Below are 27,000 nucleotides of genomic sequence, written 5' to 3' on the forward strand. Positions count from 1 at the left end.
GAAAAACCCCTCTTATTAAAAAGGAACAGTTTAAAGAAAACGTGCTTTGAATTTACCTTCATTTTTCCTCACTTCAAGGTAGGAAGTGTTGAAAAGGAGAAAACACTATACTGACTATTTTTTGTTTTAATTTTTTTCTAAACTTTAGTTTTAGTTTTGGGACTATAAGTGAATGTTTGTTACATAGGTAAACATGTGACATTGGGGGTTGTTGTACAGATTATTTCATCAACGAGGTATTAAGCCCAGTACCCAATAGTTATATTTTCTGCTCCTCTCTCTCCTCCCACTCTCCACCCTCAAGTACCACAGTGTCTGTTGTTTCCTTCTTTGTGTTCATACATTTTTATTATTTAGCTCCCATTTATAGGTGAGAACACATGGTATTTGGTTTTCTTTTCCTGTGTTAGTTTGCTAAAGATAATAGCCACCAGCTCCATCCATGTTTTGGCAAAGAAAATTATCTCATTCTTTTTTATGGCTGTACAGTATTCCACGGTGTATAGGTACCACATTTTTTTATCCAATCTGTCATTGATGGGCATTTAGGTTAATTCCATGTCTCTGTTATTGTAAAAAGTTTTGTAATAAACATTCGCTTGCATGTGTCTTTATGGTAGAATAATTTATATTCCTCTGGGTATATACAAAGTAATGAGACTGCTGGGTCAAATGATAGCTCTGCTTTAAGCTTTTTGAGGAATCATCATACTGCTTTCCATAATGGCTGAATGAATTTATACTCCCACCAACAGTGTATAAGTGTTTCCTTTTCTCCACAACCTCACCAGCATCTGCTATATTTTCACTTTTTAAGAATAACCATTCTTACTGATGTGAGATGGTATCTCATTGTGGTTTTGATTTGCATTTCTATAACGATCAGTGACACTGAGCTTTTTTTCTTTTTTTTATTTTTATTTTTTTATTTTTTTATTATTATTATACTTTAAGTTTTAGGGTACATGTGCACAATGTGCAGGTTAGTTACATATGTATACATGTGCCATGCTGGTGTGCTGCACCCATTAACTCGTCATTTAGCATTAGGTATATCTCCTAATGCTATCCCTCCCCCATCCCCCCACCACACAACAGTCCCCAGAGTGTGATGTTCCCCTTCCTGTGTCCATGTATTCTCATTGTTCAATTCCCATCTATGAGTGAGAGTTCATTGTAGTTGTTGGAGTTCATTGTAGATTCTGGATATTAGCCCTTTGTCAGATGAGTAGGTTGTGAAAATTTTCTCCCATTTTGTAGGTTGTCTGTTCACTCTGATGGTAGTTTCTTTTGCTGTGCAGAAGCTCTTTAGTTTAATTAGATCCCATTTGTCAATTTTGGCTTTTGTTGCCATTGCTTTTGGTGTTTTAGACATGAAGTCCTTGCCCATGCCTAGGTCCTGAATGGTAATGCCTAGGTTTTCTTCTAGGGTTTTTATGGTTTTAGGTCTAACATTTAAGTCTTTAATCCATCTTGATATTGAGCTTTTTTTCATATGCTTGTTGGTTGCATGTACATCTTCTTTTGAAAAGAGTCTGTTAATGTCCTTTGTGCACTTTTTAATGTTTTTTTTTCTTTTGTAAATTTGTTTAAGTTCCTTATACATGATGGATATTAGACCTTTGTCAGATGCGTAGTCTGCAAATATTTTCTCCCTTTCTGTAGGATGTCTGTTTACTCTGTTGATAGTTTCCTTTACTGTGCAGAAGCTCTTAAGTTTAATTAGATCCCACTTGTTAATTTTACTTTTGTTGCAATGAATTTGGTATATTTGTCATGAAATCTTTGCCCATTCCTATGTCCAGGATGGTATTGCCTAGGTTTTCTTCCAGGGTTTTTATAGTTTTGGGTTTTACATTTAAGTCTTTAATCCATTTTGAGTTGATTTTTGTATATGTTTTATGGAAGGGTTCCGGCTTCAACCTTCTGCATATGATCAGCCATTTATCCCAGCACCATTTATTGAATAGGGAGTCTTCTTTCTATTGCTCATTTTTTTCAGCTTTGTCAAAGATCAGATGGTTGTAGATGTGCAGTCTTACTTCTGGGCTCTCTATCCTGATCCATTGGTCTATGTTTGTTCTTGTACCAGTACCATACCATTTTGGTTACAGTGGCCCCCTACTATAGTTTCAAGTCAGGTAGTGTGATGCCCCCAGCTTTGTTCTTTTTGCTTAGGATCGCCTTGGGTATTCAGGCTCGTTTTTGGTTCCATGTGAATTTTAAAATAGCTTTTTCTAGCTCTGTGAAGAATGTGATTGGTATTTTGATAATAATAGCATTCAATCTGTAAATTGCTTTGGGCAGTTTAGTCATTTTAATGACATCGATTCTTTCTATCCATGGTCATGGTACACTTTTCCAATTATTTGTGTCTTCTCTGATTTCTTTGGGCAGTGTTTTGTAATTCTCACTATAGAAATGATTAAAGGACCATTACTACTGACCCCACAGAAGAAAAAACAACCATGAGAAACTACTATGAACAGCTCTATGCACACAAACTAGAAAACCTAGAAGAGATGAACAAATTCCTCAACATTTACACCCTCCCAAGACTGAGCCAGGAAGAAACTGATTCCTGGGACAGACCAATAAAGAGCTTTGAAATTGAATCAGTAATAAATAAACAGCCTACCAACCAAAAAAAGCCCAGCATCTGATGGATTCACAGCCGAAATCTACCAGATGTACAAAGAGCTGGTACCATTCCTATAGAAGCTACTCCAAAAAATTGAGGAGGAGGGACTCCTCCCCAACTCATTCTATAAGGCCAACATCATGTTGGCACAAAAACCTGGCAGAGACACATCAATAAAGAAAACTTCAGGCCAATATTCCTGATAAACATCATGCAAGAATCCTCAACAAAATACTTGCACACCAAATCCAGCAGCATGTCAAAAAGCTAATCCACCATGATCGAGTAGGCTTTATTCCTGGGATGCAAAGTTGGTTCAACATATAAAACTCAATAAATGTAAATCATCACATAAACAAAACTAAAGACAAAAACCACATGATTATCTCAATAGACACAGGAAAGGCTTTTGATAAAATTCAACACTCCTTCATGTTAAAAACTCTCAATAAACTAGGTATTGAAGAAACATACCTTAAAATAATAAGAACCATCTATGGCAAACCCGGAGCAAACATTATACTGAATGGGCAAAAGCTGGAAGCACTCCCTTTGAAAACCAGCACAAGACAAGGACAACCTCTCTCACCACTTCTATTCAACATAGTATTGGAAGTCCTAGCCAGAGCAATCAGGCAAAAGTAAGAAATAAAAGACATCCAAACAGGAGAAGAGGAAGTCAAACTATCTCTATGTGCAGACAACATGGTTCTACATCTAGAAAATGCCATAACCTCAGCCCAAAAGTTCATACAGCTGATAAACAACATCAGCAAAGTTTCAGGATACAAAATCAATGCACAAAAGTTACTAGCATTACTATACATCACCAACAGCCAAAACCATGAGCTAAATCAGAAATGCCATTCCATTCACAAAGACACTAAAAGAAAACAATCCTAGGAATACAGCTAACCAGGGAGGTGAAAGATCTCTACAATGAGAGTATTTCTATAAACTGACCTAACATTTGAAAAATTATAAAGCCACCTTTTAGAAAGATAGTTATCACTTGAATGCATTTCCCCTCCCAAAACACTAAATATGGAAAATATTTTATCATTTTTAATATTCAAAACAATTTTATAGATTAAATGACAAAGACTTCATGAAGAAAATGCCAAAAGCAATTTCAACAAAAGTCAAAATTGACAAATGAGATCTGATTAAACTAAAGAGCTTCTGTGCAGCAAAAGAAACTATCATCAGCGTGAACAGGCAACCTACAGAATGGGAGAAAATTTTTGCAATCTACCCATTTGACAAAGGTCAAATATCCAGAACCTACAAGTAACTTGAACAAATTTACAAGAAAAAAACAAACAACCCCATTAAAAAGTGAACAAAGAATATGAACAGACACTTCTCAAAAGAAGACATTTATGCAGCCAACAAACCTACAAAAAAAAAGCTGAACATCACTGATTGTTGGAGAAATGCAAATCAAAACCACAGTGAGATACCATCTCATGCCAGTTAGAATGGCGATCGTTAAAAAGCCATGAAACAATAGATGCTGGCGAGGCTGTGAAGAAATAAAAATGCTTTTACGCTGTTGGTGGAAATGTAAATTAGTTTAAACATTGTGGAAAACTGCGTGGTGATTCCTTAAAGATCTGGAACCTGTAATACCATTTGACCCAACAATCGCATTACTGGGCATATACCCAAAGGAATATAAATCATTCTACTGTAAAGACAAATGCACATGTATGTTTATTGCAGCACTATTTTCAATAGCAAAGACATGGAACCAACCCAAATGTCCATCAATGATAGACTGGAAAAAGAAAATGTGACACATATACACCATAGAATACTATGCAGCCATAAAAAAGAATGAGATCATGTCATTTGCAGGGATATAGGTGAAGCTGGAAGCCATCATCATCAGCAAGCTAACACAAGAACAGAAAACCAAATACCTCATGTTCTCACTCATAAGTGGGAGTTGAACAATGAGAACACATAGACACAGAATGGGAACAACACACACACTGGAACCTGTTTGGGGGTGGTGGGCGAGGGGAGGGAACTTAGATGACGGGTCAATAGGTGCAGCAAATCACCATGGCACATGCATACCTATGTAACGAACATGCACGTTCTGCACATGTATCCCAGAACTTAAAGTAAAAATTTTTTAAAAAGAATACTACAGATACTAAGATAAAGTGGTTTAGGTGTTTACTATGGAGTAGAAATGACAGAAAATACCATAGTAAATATGTTTACAATGGAAAACAATTAAATGACAAACGTATAAAATAAATAGACTGTAAAGACAATTCAAGTGACAATGTTAAATTATCCTGTAGGCTATTTTCCACTTGAGCAACATAACAAGGTTTCAGAATTCACCAAAAATATCATGTATTTTTTCAGTTTTCACTTGTTTCACAGTTTTAATATTTATTAAAACATAAACGTAAAGCACTGTTTGCTTTACTGATTTTGAATCAATGTATCATTTATTGTTTTATTATGACAATAGGAAAATACTTAGTATGGTGGGGGTCAAAGTCTCTTGGCCCCCTAAAGTTTCACTGGAAAATTACTGGCATGAGGTAAATTGATTGAAAATTTATTTAACATGTATACTCAGAAATCTTCCCAATGGAATACTCTTCAGCCATAGAAAAGAATGAGATCATATTCTTTGCAGAGACGTGGATGGAGCTGGAGGCCATTATACTCAGCAAACTAACACAGGGACATAAAACCAAACATTGCATGTTCTCACTTATAAGTGGGAGCTAAATAATGAAAACACATGGAAACAGAGAGGGGAACAATGGACACTGGGCTCTACTTAAGGGTGGAAGCTGTGAAGAGGAAGGGAACTAGGAAAAATAACTAATGGGTACTATGCTTAATACCTGGGTGATGAAATAATCTGTACAACAAACTCCATACCATAAGTTTACTTGTATAACAAGCCTGCACATGTACCTCTGTTACAGAAAAGGGGTCCGGATTCAGAACCCAAGAGAGGGTTCTTGAATTTCACATAAGAAAGAATTCAGAGTGAGTGTATACAGTAAAGTGAAATCAAGTTTGTTAAGAAAGTAAAGGCATAAAAGAATGGCTACTCCACAGAAAAAGAAGCACTGAGGGCTGCTAGTTGCCCATTTTTATGGTTATTTCTTGATGATATGCTAAACAAAGGATGGATTATTCATGCTTCCCCTTTTTAGACCATGTAGGGTAACTTCCTGACATTGCCATAGCATTTGTAAACTGTCATGGCGCTGATGGAAGTGTAGCAGCGAAGAAGACCAGAGGTCAATCTTGTAGCCATCTTGGTTTTGGTGAGTTTTAGCTGGCCTTTTTTTACTGCAACTGTTTTTTTTTTTTTTTTCTTTTATGCTTTAAGTTCTGGGATACCTGAGCAGATTTGTTACATAGGTATACACGTGCCATGGTGGTTTGCTGCACCCATCAAACCGTCATCTACATTAGGTATTTCTCCTAATGCTATCCCTCCTCTAGTCCCCCACCCCCTGACAGACCCCAGTGTGTGATGTTTCCCTCCCTATGTCCATGTGTTCTCTTTGTTCAACTCCCACTTATGAATGAGAACATGTAGTGTTTGGTTTTCTGTTCCTGTGTTAGTTTGCTGAGGTTGATGGTTTCCAGCTTCATCCATGTCTCTGCAAAGGACATGAACTCATCCTTTTCAATGGCTGCATAGTATTCCATGGTGTATATGTGCCACAGTTTCTTTATCCAGTCCATCAAAGATGGGCATTTGGGTTGGTTCCAAGTCTCTGCTATTGTGAATAGTGCCACAATAAACATACGTGTGCATGTGTTTTCATAGTAGAATGATTTATAATCCTTTGGGTACATATCCAGTAATGGGATGGCTGGGTCAAATGGTATTTCTAGTTCTAGATCCTTGAGGAATGGCCACACTGTCTTCCACAATGGTTGAACTAGTTTACAGTCCCACCAACAGTGTAAAAGCGTTTCTATATCTCAACATCCTCTCCAGCATCTGTTGTTTCCTGACTTTTTAATGATCACCATTCTAAATGGCATGAGATGGTATCTCATTGTGGTTTTGATTTGCATTTCTCTAATGACCAGTGATGATAAACTTTTACTCATATGTTTGTTGGCCGCATAAATGTCTTCTTTTGAGAAGTGTGTGTTCATATCCTTCACCCAATTTTTGATGGTTTTTTTTTTTTTCTCGTAAATTTGTTTAAGTTACTTGTAGGTTCTGGATATTAACCCTTTGTCAGATGGATAGATTGCAAAAATTTTCACCCATTCTGAAGGTAGCCTGTTCACTCTGATGATAGTTTCTTTTGCTGTGCAGAAGCTCTTTAGTTTAATTAGATCCCATTTGTCAATTTTGGCTTTTGTTGCCATTGCTTTTGGTGTTTTACCCATGAAGTCTTTGCCCATTCCTATATCCTGAATGGTACTGCCTAGATTTTCTTCTGGGGTTTTTGTGGTTTTAGGGCTTACATTTAAGTTTTTAATCCATCTTGAGTTAATTTTTGTATAAGGTGTAAGGAAGGGGTCCAGTTTCAGTTTTCTACACATGGCTAGCCAGTTTTCCCAACATCATTTATTAAATAGGGAATCCTTTCCCCATTGCTTGCTTTTGTCAGGTTTGTCAAAGATTAGATGGTTGTAGATGTGTGGCATTATTTCTGAGGCCTCTGTTCTGTTCCATTGGTCTATATATCTGTTTGGTACCAGTACCATGCTGTTTTGGTTATTACTGTAGCCTTGTAGTGTTGTTTGAAGTCAGGTGGCGCGATGCCTCCAGTTTTGTTTTTTTGCTTAGGATTGTCTTGGCAATGCAGGCTCTTTTTTGGTTCCATATGAAATTTAGAGTAGTTTTTCTAATTCTGTGAAGAAAGTCAATGGTAGCTTAATGGGAATAGCATTGAGTCTATATATTACTTTGGGCACTATGACCATTTTCACAATATTGATTCTTCCTATCCATGAGCATGGAATGTTTTTCCATTTGTTTGTGTCCTCTCTTATTTCCTTGTGCAGTGGTTTGTAGTTCTCCTTGAAGAGGTCCTTCACATCCTTTGCAAGTTGTATTCCTAGGTATCTTATTCTCTTTGTAGCAATTGTGAATGGGCGTTCACTCATGATTTGGCTCTCTGTTTGTCTATTATTGGTGTATAGGAATGCTTGTAATTTTTGCACATTGATTTTGTATCCTGAGATTTTGCTGAAGTTGCTTCTCAGCTTAAGGAAATTTTGGGCTGCGACGATGGGGTTTTCTAAATATACAATCATGTTATCTGCAAACAGAGACAATTTGATTTCCTCTTTTCCTATTTGAATACCATTTATTTCTTTCTCTTGTCTGATTGCCCTGGCCAGAACTTCCAGTACTATGTTGAGTAGGAGTGGTGAGAGAGGGCATCCTAGTATTGTGCCAGTTTTCAAAGGGAATGCTTCCAGCTTTTGCCCGTTCAGTATGATATTGGTTGTGGGTTTGTAATAAATAGCTCTTACTATTTTGAAATACGTTCCATCAGTACCTAGTTTACTGAGAGTTTTTAGCATGAAAGGGTGTTGATTTTATCAAAGGCCTTTTCTGTATCTATTGAGATAATCATGTGGTTTTTGTCATTGGTTCTGTTTATGTGATAGATTACACTTATTGATTTGTGTATGTTGAACCAGCCTTGCATCCCAGGGATGAAGCTGACTTGGTCATGGTCAATAAGCTTTCTGATGTGCTGCTGGATTCGGTTTGGCAGTGTTTTACTGAGGATTTTCGCATCAAATTTCATCAGGGATATTGACCTGAAATTTTCTTTTTTTGTTGTTTCTCTGCCAGGTTTTGGTATCAGGATGATGCTAGCCTCATAAAATGAGTTAGGGAGGAGTCCACCTTGTTCTATTGTTTGGAATAGTTTCAGAAGGAGTGATACTAGCTCCTCTTTGTACCTCTGGTAGAATTAGGCTGTGAATCTGTCTGATCCTGGGATTTTTTTAGTTGATAGGCTGTTAATTACTGGCTGAATTTCAGAACTTGTTATTTGTCTATTCATGGATTCAACTTCTTCCTGGTTTAGTCTTGGGAGGGTGTATGTGTCCAGGAATTTATCCATTTCTTCCAGATTTTCCAGTTTATTTGCACTGAGTTTTTTATAGTATTCTCTGATTGCAATTTGTATTTCTGTGAGATCAGTGATGATATCCCCTTTATCATGTTTTATTATGTCTATTTGATTCTTCTCTCTTTTTTTCGTTAGTCTGGCTAGCAGTCTATCTATTTTTTTAACTTTTTTAAAAAACCTGCTCCTGAATTCATTACTTTTTTGATGGGTATTTCATTTCTCTATCTCCTTCAGTTCTGCTCTGATCTTAGTTATTTCTTGCCTTCTGCTGGCTTTTGAATTTGTTTGCTCTTACTTCTCTACTTATTTTAATTGTGATGTTAGGCATCAATTTTAAATCTTTCCTGCTTTCTCCTGTGGGCATTTAGTGCTATGAATTTCCCTCTAACCACTGCTTTGGCTGTGTCCCAGAGATTCTACTGCGTTGTGTCTTTGTTCTCATTGGTCTCAAAGAACTTATTTATTTCTGCCTTCATTTCGTTATTTACCCAGTAGTCATTCAGGAGCAGGTTGTTCAGTTTCCATGTAATTGTGTGGTTTTGTGTGAGTTTCTTAATCCTAAGTTCTAATTTGATTGCATTGTGGTTTGAGAGACTGTTATAATTTCCATTCTTTTACATTTGCTGAAGAATGTTTTACTTCCAATTATGTGGTCAGTTTTAGAATAAGTGTGATGTGGTGCTGAGAAGAATATATATTCTGTTGATTTGGGGTGAAGAGTCCTGTAGATGTCTCTACTGGCAGCAAGAATTTCAAGCCAGTGGATCTTAGCTTGCTGGGCTCCCTGGGGGTGGGATCCGCTGAACTAGACCACTTGGTTCCCTGGCTTCAGCCCCTTTTCCAGGAGAGTGAATGGTTCTGTCTCACTGGCATTTCAGATGCCACTGGTGTTTGAAAAAATACCCCTTCAGCTAGCTCGGTTTCTGCCCGAATGACCACCCAGTTTTGTGCTTAAAACCTAAGGCCCTGGTAGTAGTAGGCACCCAAGAGAATCTCCTGGTCTGCAATTTGAGAAGACTATGGGAAAAGCATAGAATCTGGGCCAGAATGCACCATTTTTCACTGCACAGTCCCTCACAGCTTCCCTTGGCTCGGCGAGGGAGTATCCTGACCCCTTGCACTTCCTGGGTGAAGTGCTTAAGCTCGCCCTCCATGGCTGTACCCAGTGTCTAACCTGTCCCAGTGAGATGAGCCAGGTACCTCAGTTGGAAATGCAGAAATCCCCCACCTTCTGCATTGATCTTGCTGGGAGCTGCAGACCGAAGCTGTTCCTATTCATCCATCTTCACCCCAAGGGTGCAACCTGTTTTATTAGCAAGGTCTTTATGACGTATGTCTGTACCAACCTCCTATCTCATCCTATGACTTAGAATTCCTTAATTATCTGGGAGTGCAACCCAGTAGGTCTCAGCATCATTTTACGCAGCCCCTACACAACATGGAATTGCTCTGTTTCACACCTTTCTGATGTTTCCCCCCTCCCTTTTACAAGAGAATTTTTAATCCCAGGGGTTGCAGATGGACAAATATTCATCTTCTGTAACTTTTTCAGGCTGAATAGGGGCAATGACATTTCTCCATAACTCTTAGGGTCTCTTGTATTTGGGGTAGAGAGGAGCTCAGTCAGAAAGCATTTGTATGTCAAGAGCCATTTATGAATCTTGAGTTTTGACAAGAGGTAATATCTGGAAGTTTAATAAGTATTCAGTTAAAAAAATTCAGTAAACTTATCCTGCATTCCTACCCAAAGAGTATAACAGCAATATATTCCACAAAAGTAAAGCCAAAAATTATTTAAAGTAAACTACATTAGAAGATTTATCATAAACTGGGCAACTGTTGGAACCAAGCTGATATGGGGTCGCTAGCTGATATTAATAAGCTTAGAATTAGAATATTGATTTAGATTTTTATATTACCCATCCCTCTTGTTTTTTCTGAGCAGCAGTTAGACATTACTGGTTGGTTTACAGGAAAAGTCAGGGTTAGCTTAAATTGTAGAAACAAACTTAAAAACGACAGATGAGACTAGAATTTAATAACAAGTGTACCATAGTTCTTGAAACATAATTTTTCTTTTTTCAGTTTCCCATTTTTACTAAAGATAAATCATGGCAAGACTGATTTGCTTTATTGTACCTGGCCAGATTATTTGTATAAGGTGCAGCAAGAACAATTATGTTTTACGTAAGCTTTTTTAAATTGGCTTTGATAGAACTTTGTTCTGTAGAAGGAATCTTAGATAAGACTTTTGTAGAACCAAGCTCTGCCATGGGTTTGTACCCTTAAATACCTATGAGTTGAGTAAATTTCTCTCCTCTTGGGGTTTCAAGATAACTTGGCACTCCTGGGCCTGTGAGAAAGTGACATTCTTTACTTACCACAGGTCAGAAACCCTGTACAGTGACTGTGTAGGCAAGGTATGAGCTGAGTTTCCCAAGGGGATTTATTGGCTTTACAAGTCAAAAACGATTTCTTAAAGGAAAGCATGCCATTCCAGTCAAATAACCAGTTTTTCCAATTGTGTCCTGTTACAGAAGAAAACAGATTCTTTTCGCACTTATGCAAATAACTATACTGCCGTAGTTAAGAATACTCACAAATAGTTTTCAAATTCTGGAGAAATTAGGTACAGAGAAACAAATGTGCTCCAAATTTTGTTTACAGAACTATATTTTACTAAATTGTTAAAAGCTGTAAATAGCTCAAAATCAAAGTTTCTTTGACTCTAAAAAACAAAACAAAAGATTAGCAATGTTTTAAGCAAAAAAAGTTTAAAAAGTTTACTTTACTTTTTTATTGGTTCAATTGATTTTGATACTTTCTGTTTGATATTAATGAACATTTCAGCTTTTTATGAGAGTTGTGAAAATGTTTTCTGTATTTTAAAGCCACAATTTCCAAAGTTATTAGAAACCTGCCCTCAAGAATGTCTAATAGGCAGAGTGCGGTGGCTCATGCCTGTAATCCCAGCACTTTGGGAGGCCGAGGTGGGTGGATCACCTGAGGTCAGGAGTTTGAGACCAGCCTGGCCAACATGGTGAAACTCCGTCTCTACTAAAAATACAAAAAATTAGCTGGGCGTGGTGGTGGGTGCCTGTAATCCCAGCTACTTGGGAGGCTGAGGCAGGAGAATCACTTGAACCTGGGAGGTGGAGTTTGCAGTGAGCCAAGATCGTGCCATTGCACTCCAGCCTGGGTGACAAGACCAACACTCCATCTCAAAAAAAAATGTCTAATAGAGTTCTACAGTTGATTATATACCACCTTTTAAAGAGAATTAAAACAAGAAAACAATTGTTTGTGGATGAGGAATATTTTAGGGCAGCCACAGTTAAAAACACAATTGACAAAAAATATTGGTTAACTTTGTGCCATACATGATTTTATGTAATAATTATAATTATTATAACTTACACTAAGTCATATTAGAATTACAGGAGTTTCCCATAATTTTGGAACATAAACCGATAACATTTACACAAATATAGCCCAAAGAAAACCAAACACCATTTCATATTTGACAATGCTTCCTGTATGATTTTTACACCAAATAAGCCAAATGTTACTGTTGCATTATTTCATTATTGATGTCAAACTCAATTTTAAATAAAACCTTATAGACAAATATATTTACCTTTAATCAGTTTGAACATAAGGTAAAATTTTTATAAGGTTTTTACAACCCTTTACAAATTTGTGTTAAAGTGCAGATTACACACAGGTTTTTGCTTTAAGAAAATCCTGTTTCATTTTTATTCCAATGTTCACTTCACAGAAAAAATGAATACCCCTTTAACTTTAGCCAATATTCTGTATTTACACACAGAATTTCTTTTACAAATTTTTTTTCACAAACCTTCCACAACTTGCTTAAACCTTTAGCTTTGTCCTAATTTAAAACAATCCTTTAGCCCTTTAGGCAAAAAAACCCACATTTCCATGCCTTTTTATAATCTTCTAACAAAAACACATTTTACTTTCCTTACACACTTTGACTGTAAAATTATTTGTTTTTTTTTTTGTAGCCTTAAACACATGTTACACTGTTAAGTTTTAGCAACTTTTGGTGGAAACATTGGTAAGTTTGCGATTTTAATTATGTACTAGGTGTGGAGCTTAGGACTCAGACAGAAGTGCAGATAAGGTATGACTCTTCTTAGCATCTAACTCCATGTGTTCCAGGCCTTACCTAGCTGTAAAGAAAGAAAGTTGTACAGTTATGAGTCATAGTGGCATTTTATGAAGCATTAAGGAAGCCTAATCACCTTTAAATTGTACAACATTTCTTGCATAACTTATTTTTTATAAATTCTTTTATGACATACACAGACCATCTACAACATGCTAAGATTTTTGACTTGTCCTAAACATTTATTTTTTTTTAACAACCAGTTATTTTACTTTAGGACAAGGGTGTACCATGAGAGATCCTTTCTTATATAAAATACCTTTTCTTTATAACCTTCTTTGCATAGCTAGGGGGCATGGCTAATTCCACATGTCCCCAGGCTTTATTTGGAATTTAATGCTCCAAAATAGGTAAATTGAATAATTTTTAAAAGTCAAAGATACAGTTTATGACCTTAAAGCATTTAGCAAACCTAATATCTGACCTGCATAATTTAGACCAAATGTTTACATTTTTGAAGATATTTTTATTTTGCCAATAATTTTTAAGACTGTCTTTATTTTCAAAATATTACTTAACTCACATGAACTAAATAAAAGGCATTACTTTTTTTACTTTTTTGACAAAATATTTTATTTAAGCACTTATTATTCTTAAACCAATTTATCAAAGCTCTCTTGTATATAAACATTACATAGACAACACATATAAATACACAGACAGACAGAAAGTAAAGGATTCATTCCCTAAGCCAGGAATTAGGCCCTAAACCTGGGCTGCTATTGTGAAAAGAGAAAGCATAGCCACGTGATTACAAGGTCAAGCTCCCAAAGACATGACTGACCAGGTTCCTGGGCCATCTTGAAAAGTGGGCTTGGGCAGAGACACAACCAAAAAAGAGAATTTTAGACCAATATCCTTGATGAATATTGATGCAAAAATCCTCAATAAAATACTGGCAAACCGAATCCAGCAGCACATCAAAAAGCTTATCCACCATGATCAAGTGAGCTTCATCCCTGGGATGCAAGGCTGGTTCAATATATGCAAATCAATAAATGTAATCCAGCATATAAACAGAACCAAAGACAAAAACCACATGATTATCTCAATAGATGCAGAAGAGGCCTTTGACAAAATTCCACAACGCTTCATGCTAAAAACTCTCAATAAATTAGGTATTGATGGGACGTATCTCAAAATAATAAGAGCTATCTATGACAAACCCACAGCCAATGTCATACTGAATGGGCAAAAACTGGAAGCATTCCCTTTGAAAACTAGCACAAGACAGGGATGCCCTCTCTCACCACTCCTATTCAACATAGTGTTGGAAGTTCTGGCCAGGGCGACTAGGCAGGAGAAGGAAATAAAGGGTATTCAATTAGGAAAAGAGGAAGTCAAATAGTCCCTGTTTGCAGATGACATGATTGTATATCTAGAAAACCCCATTGTCTCAGCCCAAAATCTCCTTAAGCTGATAAGCAACTTCAGCAAAGTCTCAGGATACAAAATCAATGTACAAAAATCACAAGCATTCTTACACACCAATAACACACAAACAGAGAGCCAAATCATGAGTGAACTCCCATTCACAATTGCTTCAAAGAGAATAAAATACCTAGGAATCCAACTTACAAGGGATGTGAAGGACCTCTTCAAGGAGAATTACAAACCACTGCTCAATGAAATAAAAGAGGATACAAAGAAATGGAAGAACATTCCATGCTCATGGGTAGGAAGAATCAATATCGTGAAAATGGCCATACTGCCCAAGGTAATTTATAGATTCAATGTCATCCCCATCAAGCTACCAATGACTTTCTTCACAGAATTGGAAAAAACTACTTTAAAGTTCATATGGAACCAAAAAAGAGCCCGCATCACCAAGTCAATCCTAAGCCAAAAGAACAAAGCTGGAGGCATCATGCTACCTGACTTCAAACTATACTACAAGGCTATAGTAAACAAAACAGCATGGTACTGGTACCAAAACAGAGATATAGACCAATGGAACAGAACAGACCCCACAGAAATAATGCCACATATCTACAACTATCTGATCTTTGACAAACCTGAGAAAAACAAGCAATGGGGAAAGGATTCCCTATTTAATAAATGGTGCTGGGAAAACTGGCTAGCCATATGGAGAAAGCTGAAACTGGATCCCTTCCTTACATCTTATACAAAAATTAATTCAAGATAGATTAAAGACTTAAACATTAGACCTAAAACCATAAAAACCCTAGAAGAAAACCTAGGCATTACCCTTCAGGACATAGGCTTGGGCAAGGACTTCATGTCTAAAACACCAAAAGCAATGGCAACAAAAGCCAAAATTGACAAATGGGATCTAATTAAACTAAAGAGCTTCTGCACAGCAAAAGAAACTACCATCAGAGTGAACAGACAACCTACAAAATGGGAGAAAATTTTCACAACCTACTCATCTGACAAAGGGCTAATATCCAGAATCTACAATGAACTCAAACAAATTTACAAGAAAAAAACAAACAACTCCATCAAAAAGTGGGCAAAGGACATGAACAGACACTTCTCAAAAGAAGACATTTATGCAGCCAAAAGACACATAAAAAAATGCTCATCATCACTGGCCGTCAGAGAAATGCAAATCAAAACCACAATGAGATATCATCTCACACCATTTAGAATGGCAATCATTAAAAAGTCAGGAAACAACAGGTGCTGGAGAGGATGTGGAGAAATAGGAACACTTTTACACTGTTGATGGGACTCTAAACTAGTTCAACCATTGTGGAAGTCAGTGTGGCGATTCCTCAGGGATCTAGAACTAGAAAGACCATTTGACCCAGCCATCCCATTACTGGGTATATACCCAAAGGACTATAAATCATGCTGCTATAAAGACACATGCACACGTATGTTTATTGCGGCACTATTCACAATAACAAAGACTTAGAACCAACCCAAATGTCCAATAATGATAGACTGGATTCAGAAAATGTGGCACATATACACCATGGAATACTATGCAGCCATAAAAAATGATGAGTTCATGTCCTTTGTAGGGACATGGATGAAATTGGAAATCATCATTCTCAGTAAACTATCACAAGAACAAAAAGCCAAACACCACATATTCTCACTCATAGGTGGGAACTGAACAATGAGAACATATGGACACAGGAAGGGGAACATCACACTCTGGGGACTGTTCTGGGGTGGGGGGGAGGGGAGGGATAGCATTAGGAGATATACCTAATGCTAAATGACGAGTTACTGGGTGCAGCACACCAGCATGGCACATGTATACATATGTAACTAACCTGCACATTGTGCACATGTACCCTAAAACTTAAAGTATAATAATAATAAAATAAAAAAAAAGAAAAGTGGGTTTATGGGATCCCAGTCACACATTCTATTCTAAGGTACCCCTCATTATGACAGAACAATACAGAAATGTACACAAAGCACACCAGATTCACTGCAGCTTAAGATTAGCTCCAAAAGTTCTCTTTTCCATTAAGCAAAAGCTTTACAGAGGAGATAAACAGTGATTTTGCCATTCATTCAACCAATTTGCACAGAGAGAGGGATAGAGTGGGGCCAGAAGTCTGACTAGTAAGAAATTCTTACCCTTTTGCCAGCATGACAGACTTCTGGATTTCCTTTCCCTGAGTGGCCCTGGTGACCTGGCTTGCTGCACCATAGCCCTGGGGGCCAAGCCGCAACACAAAGTAAAATTATCTTTTTCCATCTGGCCAGAGCAAAATACTTGTGAAAAAACATAGACATTAGCCACTCTGCTTAGTACCTAATATTAATCTGGCAAAGCTCAAACTTGCCCCCAGTTGGGCCCCATAATTGTTAAGCCAATCTCTGACCAGGAGTTTCAACTTGTGCTCTCTGGACAAGATGGTCACCCTGAGTAATAGAAAAGATAGGAAAGAGAAAGGAGAAAGAAACGCGTAGCCTGTGGCAGGGTGGGGAAGGTGAAAAGCTCAGGGAAGCCAGAGAAAGACGCACCCATTGCAGTGACACCAAATCCAAAGTTTAGGGAGCTGCTTGTTGGTCATGAAGGGATTATTTCCAACAGTCCCATCGGTTCTCAAGTTTCCCCTTTTCGTGAGAAAAAAGCTCCCCATGTCCCACCATCCTGTACATGCCTAATCCTATTACCCACAGCTGTTAGCAAAGAGTGCAAGGCAGATTATTCCAAAGAGAATGGCTGTTAATATCCCTTAGTGCCAAACCCGTTCTTAGACAAAAGAAAATTTACTGAGAGGGACCTCTATCCTAGCTGAATCTTAGGAGGGACTCTAGCCCTTCTAAGTTAGCCCTCTAACCTAAGGTCAGTCAAGCATCCTTGCTTTTTATTAAGAGGGGTCTCTGTCTTAGTAGAGACTCTAACTCCCTTAAGTTGGGTTTATAAGCCAATCCCATTTTTTACCTGGGTACCCCACCACTTACTCAAAGTCAGCCAATTAGTGCTTTGGGTTGGGGGGTTCCTTCAGTACTGCCTTTTCAGGGTTCACTAGGAAGATATTGCTGGACCCCGCCACTTACACAAAGTTAGTCTTTGAGTTGGGGGTTTTCACATTATAATCCCTTTATAGTCACCAAAAAGATGTCACAGGAAAGGGGCCCAGATCCAGACCCCAAGAGAGGGTTCTTGGATCTTGTGCAAGAAAAAAATCAGGGTGAGCTTATAAAGTAAAGTAAAAGCAAGTTTATTAAGAAAGTAAAGGAATAAAAGAATGGCTGCTCCACAGACAGAGCAGCCCTGAGGGCTGCTGATTGCCCATTTTTATGGTTATTTCTTGATGATATGCTAAACAAGGAGTGGATTATTCATTCCTCCCCTTTTTAGACCCCATAGGGTAACTTCCTGTTGTTGCCATAGCATTTGCAAACTGTCATGGTGCTAATGGGAGTGTAGCAGTGAGGGCGACCAGAGGTCACTCTTGTAGCCATCTTGGTTTTGATGGGTTTTCGCTGGCTTCTTTGCTGCAACCTGATTTATTATAGAGGTCTTTATGACCTGTATTTGTGCTGATCTCCTATTTCATCCTATGACTTAGAATGCCTTAACCATCTGGAAATGCAGCTCAGTAGGTCTCAGCATCATTTAACCCAACCCTTATTCAAGATGGAGTTGCTCTTGTTCACATGCCTCTAACACCCCTAGACCTAAAATAAAAGTAAAATTTAAAAATGGAAATATATTTGGGGTGGAATATTTTAATTTTCTTCAGTATCATGTGCCTAAGGTAACAGCACTTCTTCTTTACCACATCCCAATGCAAGTTTCCAAAATATAATCCAGCACTATGAACTTGGTTGAAAACATTTTTTCTGAGGCTCTTTGGGTATTGGTACTTTAAGTCTCTTATACTATAGAGGAAAATTACCAATTTAGGAAGTAAAATTTTTTGTGAAACCCTCTCTAAAACACCTTTCCTCTCGTCTGAAGAATTAGAAAATATATCAAAACTAAAACCAGTATGCCCTTCATTAGTACAATGAGGCTTTTCCCCTGTTTACAGAAGTCCAAGCATCAGGACAATGCTGTTTTTTTCAAGGCATAATTGCAAACTCAAATCTCAAATTTATGCCTTTTTACATCCTTTGCTATGATTAGAACATGCTGTGAACAATGAGTTACAGTGGCCTGATAATGGCTACTTTGCCTGAACAACGGTGATTTCTATAATCATGTTTAAAATGAAAAGGCAAACTTGCTTTTCCAGCTTTTTAAAAATCAATTACAAGACATTATTAAAAAAGCTAAAAACATTTTATCATCTATAATTTGAAAAAGAATGTTCTAAAATACCATAATACTTAGGTAAAGTTTTAGGCCTTATTCTCTACTGAGTAAACCATTGCCAATTCCTACTGGGTCTCTGCTATTTTTTGAATGGTGTCATTGTAACTCCTCCTGAACCTGTATGTTGGAGATTAAGATTGCCCTATCCAAAGCAGTTATTTCACTCCAAGTTTTATATAGTTAAGAATTATTTTATTTACTCTAAGTTTCTAGCTGATTATGACTTTTTCACTAGCAAACTATTCCATTCACATGTACAATATTAATAAAGATACAATTTTATTATTCTTTTGAGCTTCTCTATGGATAGTTTCCATCATTTTCCATCCACAATTACAGGGAAAAAAAGAGTGATTTATCATGTGGCATGACATTGTTGGTCAGCTGAAATTACCAAGTACATATTCCTAGTCGTGAGCACATGACTTAGTTTTATTAATTTTCCCTTAGCTTTTCTCTTCTAATAGAGATTACCAGCTTTTGCAATGTTTTAGTCAAGGATCATCGGTAATTAAATATGATTATTAAGTTTACTCCATTATCCCTCAAATGTTATCTCACACACTTTGTTCAGGTAAAATACAGTTTCTGAAACAGTTCACATTCTAAAAAAACATTTAAGTTATTAAAATGTTGGCTTAGATAAGAAAATTTCATAAGATCACATTTCAAACAGTTCTAAATATTCTAAATGAAAATACCCTATAGGAATAACTAATTAATACCTTTCTGAAATAAATCACATCTGTATTAGTCTGTTTTCACATTGCTTTAAAGAACTACCTAAGACTGAGTAGTTTATGAAAAAAGAGTGTAATTGACTCACAGTTCCACAGGCTTAACAAGAAGCATGACTGAGAGGCATCAGGAAACTTACAATCATGGTGGAAGAGAAGGGGAAGCAAGGACCTCCTTCACATGGCAGCAGAAAAGAAAAACAGTGAAGGGGAAAGTGCCACACACTTTCAAACAATCAGATGTCATGAGAACTCACTCAATATCATGAGAACAGCAAGGGGGATGTCACCTCCATGATTTAATCACCTCCTACCAGGCCCCTCCCCTCACATAAGATAATTACAACTTGACATGAGATTTGAATGGGGACACAGAGTCAAATCATATCATTCGGCCTCTGGCTCTACCTAAATCTCATGTCCTTTTCATATTTCAAAACCAATCATGCCTTCCCAACAGTCCCCCAAAGTCTTAACTCATTCCAGCATTAACCCAAAAATCCAAGTCCAAAGTCTCATCTGAGACAAGGCAAGTACCTTACACTTACGAGCCTGTAAAATGAAAAACAAGCTAGTTACTTCCAAGACACAATGGGGGCACCTGCATTGGGTAAATGCTTTTATTGCAAAAGGGAGAAATTGGCTAAAGCCAAGGGACTATACAGGTCCCATGCAAGTCTGAAACCCAGCAGGGCAGTCATTAAATCTTAAAGCTCTAAAATAATCCCTTTGATTCCATGTCTCACATTTATGGCATGCTGATACAAGGGGTGGGCTCCAGAGACCTCAGGAAGCTCCACCCCTATGGCTGTGTATGGTACAGACCTCACAGCTCATTTCATGGGCTGGCATTGAGTACTTGCAGCTTTTACAGGTACAGAGTGAAAGCTGTTGGTGGATCCACAATTCTGGGGTCTGGAAGATAGTGGCCTTTTTCTCACAGATTTACTAGGCAGTGCTCCAGTGGGGACTCTGTATGGGGGCTCCAACCTCACATTTCCCCCTCTGCACTGCCCTAGTAGAGATTCTCTATGAGGGCCCCACCCCTGCAGCAGTGTTCTTCCTGGACACCCACACATTTCCATACATCCTCTGAAATTTAGGTGGGGGCTCTCAAATCTTGCTCTTGTGTTCTGTGCACCTGTGGAACAACACCAACACCACATGGAAGCTGCCAAGACTTGGGGCTTGCACCTTCTGAAGGAATGACCCAAGCTGTACTTTGGCCCCTTTTAGCCATGGCTGGAAATGGAGCAGCTGGCATGCAGTGTGCCATGCTCTGAGACTGTACAAAGCAGTGGGGCCCTGGGCCTGGCCCATGAAACCATTTTTCCCCATTAGGCCTCCAGGTCTTATAGACCTGGAGGGACTGCCGCAAAGATATCTGAAATGCCCTAGAGGTATTTTCCCTATTGACTTCTATATTAACATTTGGCTCCTGGTTGCTTATGCAAATTTCTGCAGCTGGCTTGAATTTCTCCCCAGAAAATGGGTTTTTATTTTTCTACTGCATAGTCAGCCTGCAAATTTACCAAATTTGTATGCTCTGCTTCCCTTTTAACATAAGTTCCAATTTCAGACCATCTTTTTATTCACACAAATGAGCTTACACTACTAGAAAGAGCCAGTTATCATCTTGAATGCTTTGCTGGTTAGAAGTTTCTTCCATCGGATACCCTAAATTATCTCTCTCAAGTTTAAAGTTCCACAGATCTCTAGGGGAGGGGCAAAATTTTGCCAGTCTCTTTGCTAAAGCATAGCAAGAGTGAGCTTTACTCCAGTTCCCAATAAGGTCCTCATCTTCATCGGATACCACCTCAGCCTGGACTTCACTGTCCATAGCATCGGCATTTTGGTCACAACCATTTCACAAGTCAAAAGTTCCAAACTTTTCCATTCTTCCTGTCTTCTGCTTAGCCCTCCAAACTGTTCCAAACTCTGTCCATTACTCAGTTCCAAAGTCACGTCCACCTTTTCAGGTATCTTTATAGAAATGTCCCAGTTTCCTGGTGCTAGTTTTCTACATTAGTCCATTTTCACATTGCTATAATGAACCACCTGAGACTGGGTAGTTTATAAAGAAAATGGATTCAATTGACTCACAGTTCCACAGACTTAACAGAAAGCATGGTTTGGAGGCCTCAGGAAACTTACAATCATGATGGAAGAGGAAGGAGAAAGCAACAACCTTCTTTACATGGTGGCCAGAGAGAGAGAAATCAAAGGGGGAAGTGCCATACACTTTCAAACAACCAGATCTCATGAGAACAGAAAGGGGGAAGTCTGACCCCTTGATTCAGTAACCTCTCATGAGGCCCCTCCCCTGACATGTGGGGCTTACAGTTCTAGGTGAGATTTGGGTGAGGACACAGAGCAAAACCATATCAACATCTTATACTTCTATACCTTTATAACTAGTGAACAAGGGCACAGGACTCAGAACGTATGTACTGGATAAATATTTGTTGAACAAATGAATGAGGTCTCAAAAGTTAAACCGAGAAGTAATTCACAACGTTTGCAATACTCTGGAGCTCAGATAATCTAAGTTTGAGTCAGCTACTTTTTAGCTTCTAGGGGCCAAGGGAAGTTATGTAACCATTTTATCCTTAGTTACCTCTATTGTATACATAATATCTCAATTTACTTGACACATCTATTTGTGTCTGTAACAGACATCTTGATTCAACATGTTGAAAAATGAACTCTCATTCTTTCTCCTCAAACCTCTTTCTCTTGCAGCAAAAATGAAACCTTTGTATTTACTGATGATATTCCTCTTTCTTGAGAGATCTTATTGAAAGAAGGATCAAAGAAATAGAGAAGTATCTAGAGGTGGAATGGGGTCAAGAGAGAATATTTTCTAAGTTAGGCAAAATAGCATATTATTTGTATGCTGAGGGAAATGATACAGAAGAGAGGGAAATATTTAAAATGTGTGAGAAAGAGGTGAGACTTTGATTAATGTCCTGGGGGGATAAGGAGTTGTGGGAATTGCTGCACAAATAGATGAGCTGGCTTCAGCTGAGAGCACCAATACGTTGGCTTGCAATAATTAGGTAAAGGAGAATATTATGGGTGCGGGTACTAGTAAGGGTGTTGATGTGGTGGAGAAGATTGTAAAGTTCTCTTCAAATTGTTGCAGTTTTCTCAGTGAAATGAGAAACAAGATAATCTAATCTGCAGATTGCTTTGGTTAGTCTTAATATCTTAACAATACTGATTCTTCCAATCCATGAATACTAGGTGCCTTTCCATTTATTTGTGTCTTCAATTTCTTTCACCAAAGTTTGTAGTTTTCTCTAATATGTGTCTTTCATCTCCTTTCTTAAGTTTATTCTCAAGTATTTTATTATTTTATTCATATTTCAATGTATAATATTTCTTTATTTCCATTTCTGATTATTGTTGGTGTGAAGAAATGCAATTAACTTATGGGTGTTGATTTTGTATTCTGCAACTTTGTTGAATTTTATTATTAGTTCTAACAGTTCTTGTGGAATTTTAAGTATTTTCTTTTTTCTTTTCTCTTTTTTTTTTTTTTTTTTTTTTTGAGACAGAGTCTCGCTCTGTCGCCCAGGCTGGAGTGCAGTGGCGCAATCTTGGCTCACTGTAAGCTCCTCCTCCTGGGTTCACGCCATTCTCCTGCCTCAGCCTCCCGAGTAGCTGGGACTACAGGCGCCTGCCACCACGCCAGGCTAATTTTTTTGTATTTTTAGTAGAGATGGGGTTTCACCATGGTCTCGATCTCCTGACCTCATGATCAGCCCACCTCGGCCTCCCAAAGTGCTGGGATTACAGGCATGAGCCACTGTGCCCGGCCAAAGATTTTCTACATATAAGATTATGTCATCTAAAGAGAAAGAGGGTTTTATTTTTTCTTTGCACTTTGGATTTATTTTATTTTTTGATCTTGCTTGATATCTCTTGAGTTTCATGAATTTGGATGCCTATATCCTTCCCAAGATTTGGGAAGTTTTCAGACATTATTTCTTTAAATATCCTTTTCTTCTCCTTTTCTCTCTATTCTCTGACACTCCCATAAACCATGTTTGTTTACCTGATGGCATCCCATAAGTTTTCAAGTTAATTTACTCTTTCTTCTGCATACCTAAGTCTACTGTTGAAGTTGTCTGTTGAATTTTTTGGTTCTTTCATTGTATTTTCGTATTTTGATGTACGTGGAAAACTGCTTTTACTGCATCCCTTAAGTTCAGGCACATTGTGTTTTTATTTTCATTTGTCTCAAGATATTTGCTAGTTTCCCAGATTTCATCTTTGATCCATGGGTTATTTAAAAATATTTTAATGAGTGTCCACATATTTGTGATTTTTACAGTTTTCCTTCTGCTATGTATTTCTAGTTTCATTCCATTGTAATCAGAAAAGATGCTTTGTATTATTTCAATCATTTTGAATTTGTTAAGATTTGCTTTGTGGCTTAGCATATGGTCTAATCTGGTAAATGCTATCTGTGCACTGAGAAAAATGTCTATTTTGATGTTGTTGAATGGAAGGTTTTGCATATGCCTGTAGATCCAATTGGTCTATGTTGTGAGTTCAAGTCCTCTGTTTCTGTATTAATCTTTTGTCTGGTTGCTTTATCCATTGTTGAAAGTGAGAAATATAAATCACTTACTACTATTGTGGAGCTTTCTCAACCTTTAACTCTGTCAAAATTTGCTTCATATATTTTTAAACCCTGATGTTTGTTACATACATATATATATATACACTTTTTATCTCTCCTTGGCAAATTGGCCCTTTTATCAGTGTAAAATGTCCTTCTTTGTCTCTTATAACATTTTTTGACTTGGTATCATTTGTCTGATATTACATTGACACCCCTGCTGTCTTTTGGTTACTACTGTTATTGAATAAATTTTTCCATCTTTCACTTTCAACAGATATGTATTCTTAGATCTAAAGTGAATCTTTTTTTGACATTTAGTTTAATTCTACTTTTATATTCTTTTTGCAAAACTATGTATTTTCATTGGGGATTTTAATCCATTTACATTTAAATAATTGCTGATAGGAAAGAACTTACTATTACCATTTTTATTTTGTCCTATTTATGCCTTAAAGCTTTTTTGACCCTCATTTTTTCCATTGCTTCCTTACATGTGTCTAGTTGATTTTGTAGTGACATGTTTTGATACATTTCTCCTTTCCTTTTGTGTATATTCTATACTTTCTTTGTGCTTAACATGTAGATTATATACAGCATCCTAAAGACATAAAAATCTATTTTAGATTGATATTAACTTAACTTTAATAGCATACAAAAACTACTCCTTTGTATTTCTACCCCACCTTATATTATTGATGTAACAAGTGACATCTTTATATATTATGTACCCATTTGCATAGATTTATCATCATTTTCATGGATTTACCTTTTAAATCCAGTAAAAAATAAAAGTGGAATTATAAACCAAAAGTACAAAAATGCTGGGTTTTATATTTGACTATGTATTAGCCTTTACAGGGGACCTTCATATTTTACATGGCTTTGCATTATTGTCTAGCATTCTTTCATTTCAAATTGAAGGACTTCCTTTAGCACTACTCATAAGGCAGGTCTAGTAATAAGAAGTCTCTAAGATTTTGTTTATCTGAGAATTTCTTAATTTCTCCCTTGCTTTTGAAGATAAGTTTTGGCAGATGTAGAATTCTCAGTTGACAGTTATTTTCCTTCATAACTTTAAATATATCTTTCCACTGCCTTCTGGCCTCTAAGGTTTTTTGCTGAAAAATATGCTGATAATATTATTGAGGATACGTCATGTGTGTTGAATCACTTCTCTCTTGCTGCTTTCAAGAGTATCTCTTTGTCTTTGTCTTTCAACACTTTGATTATAATATATCTCAGTGTGGGTCACTTTTGGTTTATCCCAACTGAATTTCTTGAGTTTCTTGGATTTGTGGATCTGTGTCTTTCCTCAAATTTAGAAAGTTTTTGGCTATTATTTCTTTAAATTTTTTTTTTTTTTTGCTCCTTCTCTTTCTTTCTTCTCTCTTTTATACTCCTATATGTGTATGATGGTTCACTTAATGGTGTCCCATTAGTCCATTAGTCTCTGTTTATTCTCCTTTATTTTTTCCTTTTTTCTCTTCTCACTCAGTAATTTCAAATATCCTGTATCCCAGCTATTTTATTCTTCTTCCTGTTAATGTCTGTGTTTGCATGCCTCTAGTAAATTTCACAATTCAGATATATTTTTCAGCTCCAGAATTTCTAGGGTTTTTTTCTTGTTTTTATAGTCTCTATTTTTTTTGTTGAAGTTTCATTTTGTTTATATATAGTTACTCTAATTTCCTTTACTTCATCGTCCATGTTTTTTAGCCCTTTGAATACATTTAAGGAAGTTATTTAAAATTATTTGTCCAGTATGTCCAATGCTTGTGTTTCTTCAGGAATTGTTTCTGACACTTCACTTAACTCCTTTGAATAGTCCACATATTCCTATTTATTTTATGCCATGTGGTATTTTGTCATTCCTAAAAATTGAGCATTAGAAAATACAGCCACCTCTCCTAGTCTTTGCAGACTGACTGCACTTGGTAATGCCTTTCCTAATTATCAAAGCATGTTCTGAGACTTAAGATCAGCTGGAGTGAAGGCTTAAGGTCTCCTTACGTCTCCTCTGAGCATGTCTTGCCTGGAACTCTGTGTGTTCTTTTTTCAATTTTCCTATAAACACAGTTGATGTTAAAAGTCTTAATTTTGCAGTTTCTTACTCCAGCTTCTTATTGGGTCCTTGCATATTATTTTGTATTCCTGCAACTGTAATATTTTCCCCCAATCATCTGTGGGTCTGTAGTCTGCTTGCTGCCTTCATGAGCTATGCCCACCCTGCCTGCAGCTTTTCCACTTATTTTCTGTCTGAGCTCTAAGTCAAGCAAAACATGCAGAAGTCCGTAAGGCATCCCTACACTTATTAGAATGCTACAGATAAAGTCTCCTCCATTCTTTCATATTTGAGGAAGGAAGCTGTTTCCTTTAAGTTGTGTCAGATTGTGCCATGCAGGGGCTGGGGAAGGACAAGTAAAAACACTGTGGAATTTCCTATAACTTGCATGTGGCTTCTTTTTTTAATTAGGTGATCACTTGGTTGCTGTAGACCTTTGACTCTTTTCCAGAACTCCTATAAAGTTATTTTGTCTAATCTCTAGGGTTTTGTTTGTTTAGGCTTGTTTTTTTAATGTTTTTATAGGGAAAATGAGGACCTGAAACCCCCTGGTACACCACCTTGCTGACATCACCTTCTGAGATTTACTTTAAAAAATTTTTTTTAATTTTTTCATTCTATTCCTAGTCTTGCACAGGAAGGTTGCACCATGCACTCTTGGTAAAACGTTTCACTTTTTAAATGACCTTCAGGATATTCAGTCGGTTCTTCTTCAGTAACCAGTTCAATGAAAGAGTATTTCTTCAGATCATTTATTAGGCCTTTAATGGTTATTTGGCCAAAGAAGAAAGAGCAGGCTTATACCATGAGTCAGACAAAGCATCTAACTTATGGGAAGTCTATATGCAGAATCATTCAACATGTCCACAAAAA

Source organism: Homo sapiens, chromosome X (assembly GCF_000001405.40).
Source record: "Homo sapiens chromosome X, GRCh38.p14 Primary Assembly".
NCBI lineage: Eukaryota > Metazoa > Chordata > Mammalia > Primates > Hominidae > Homo > Homo sapiens.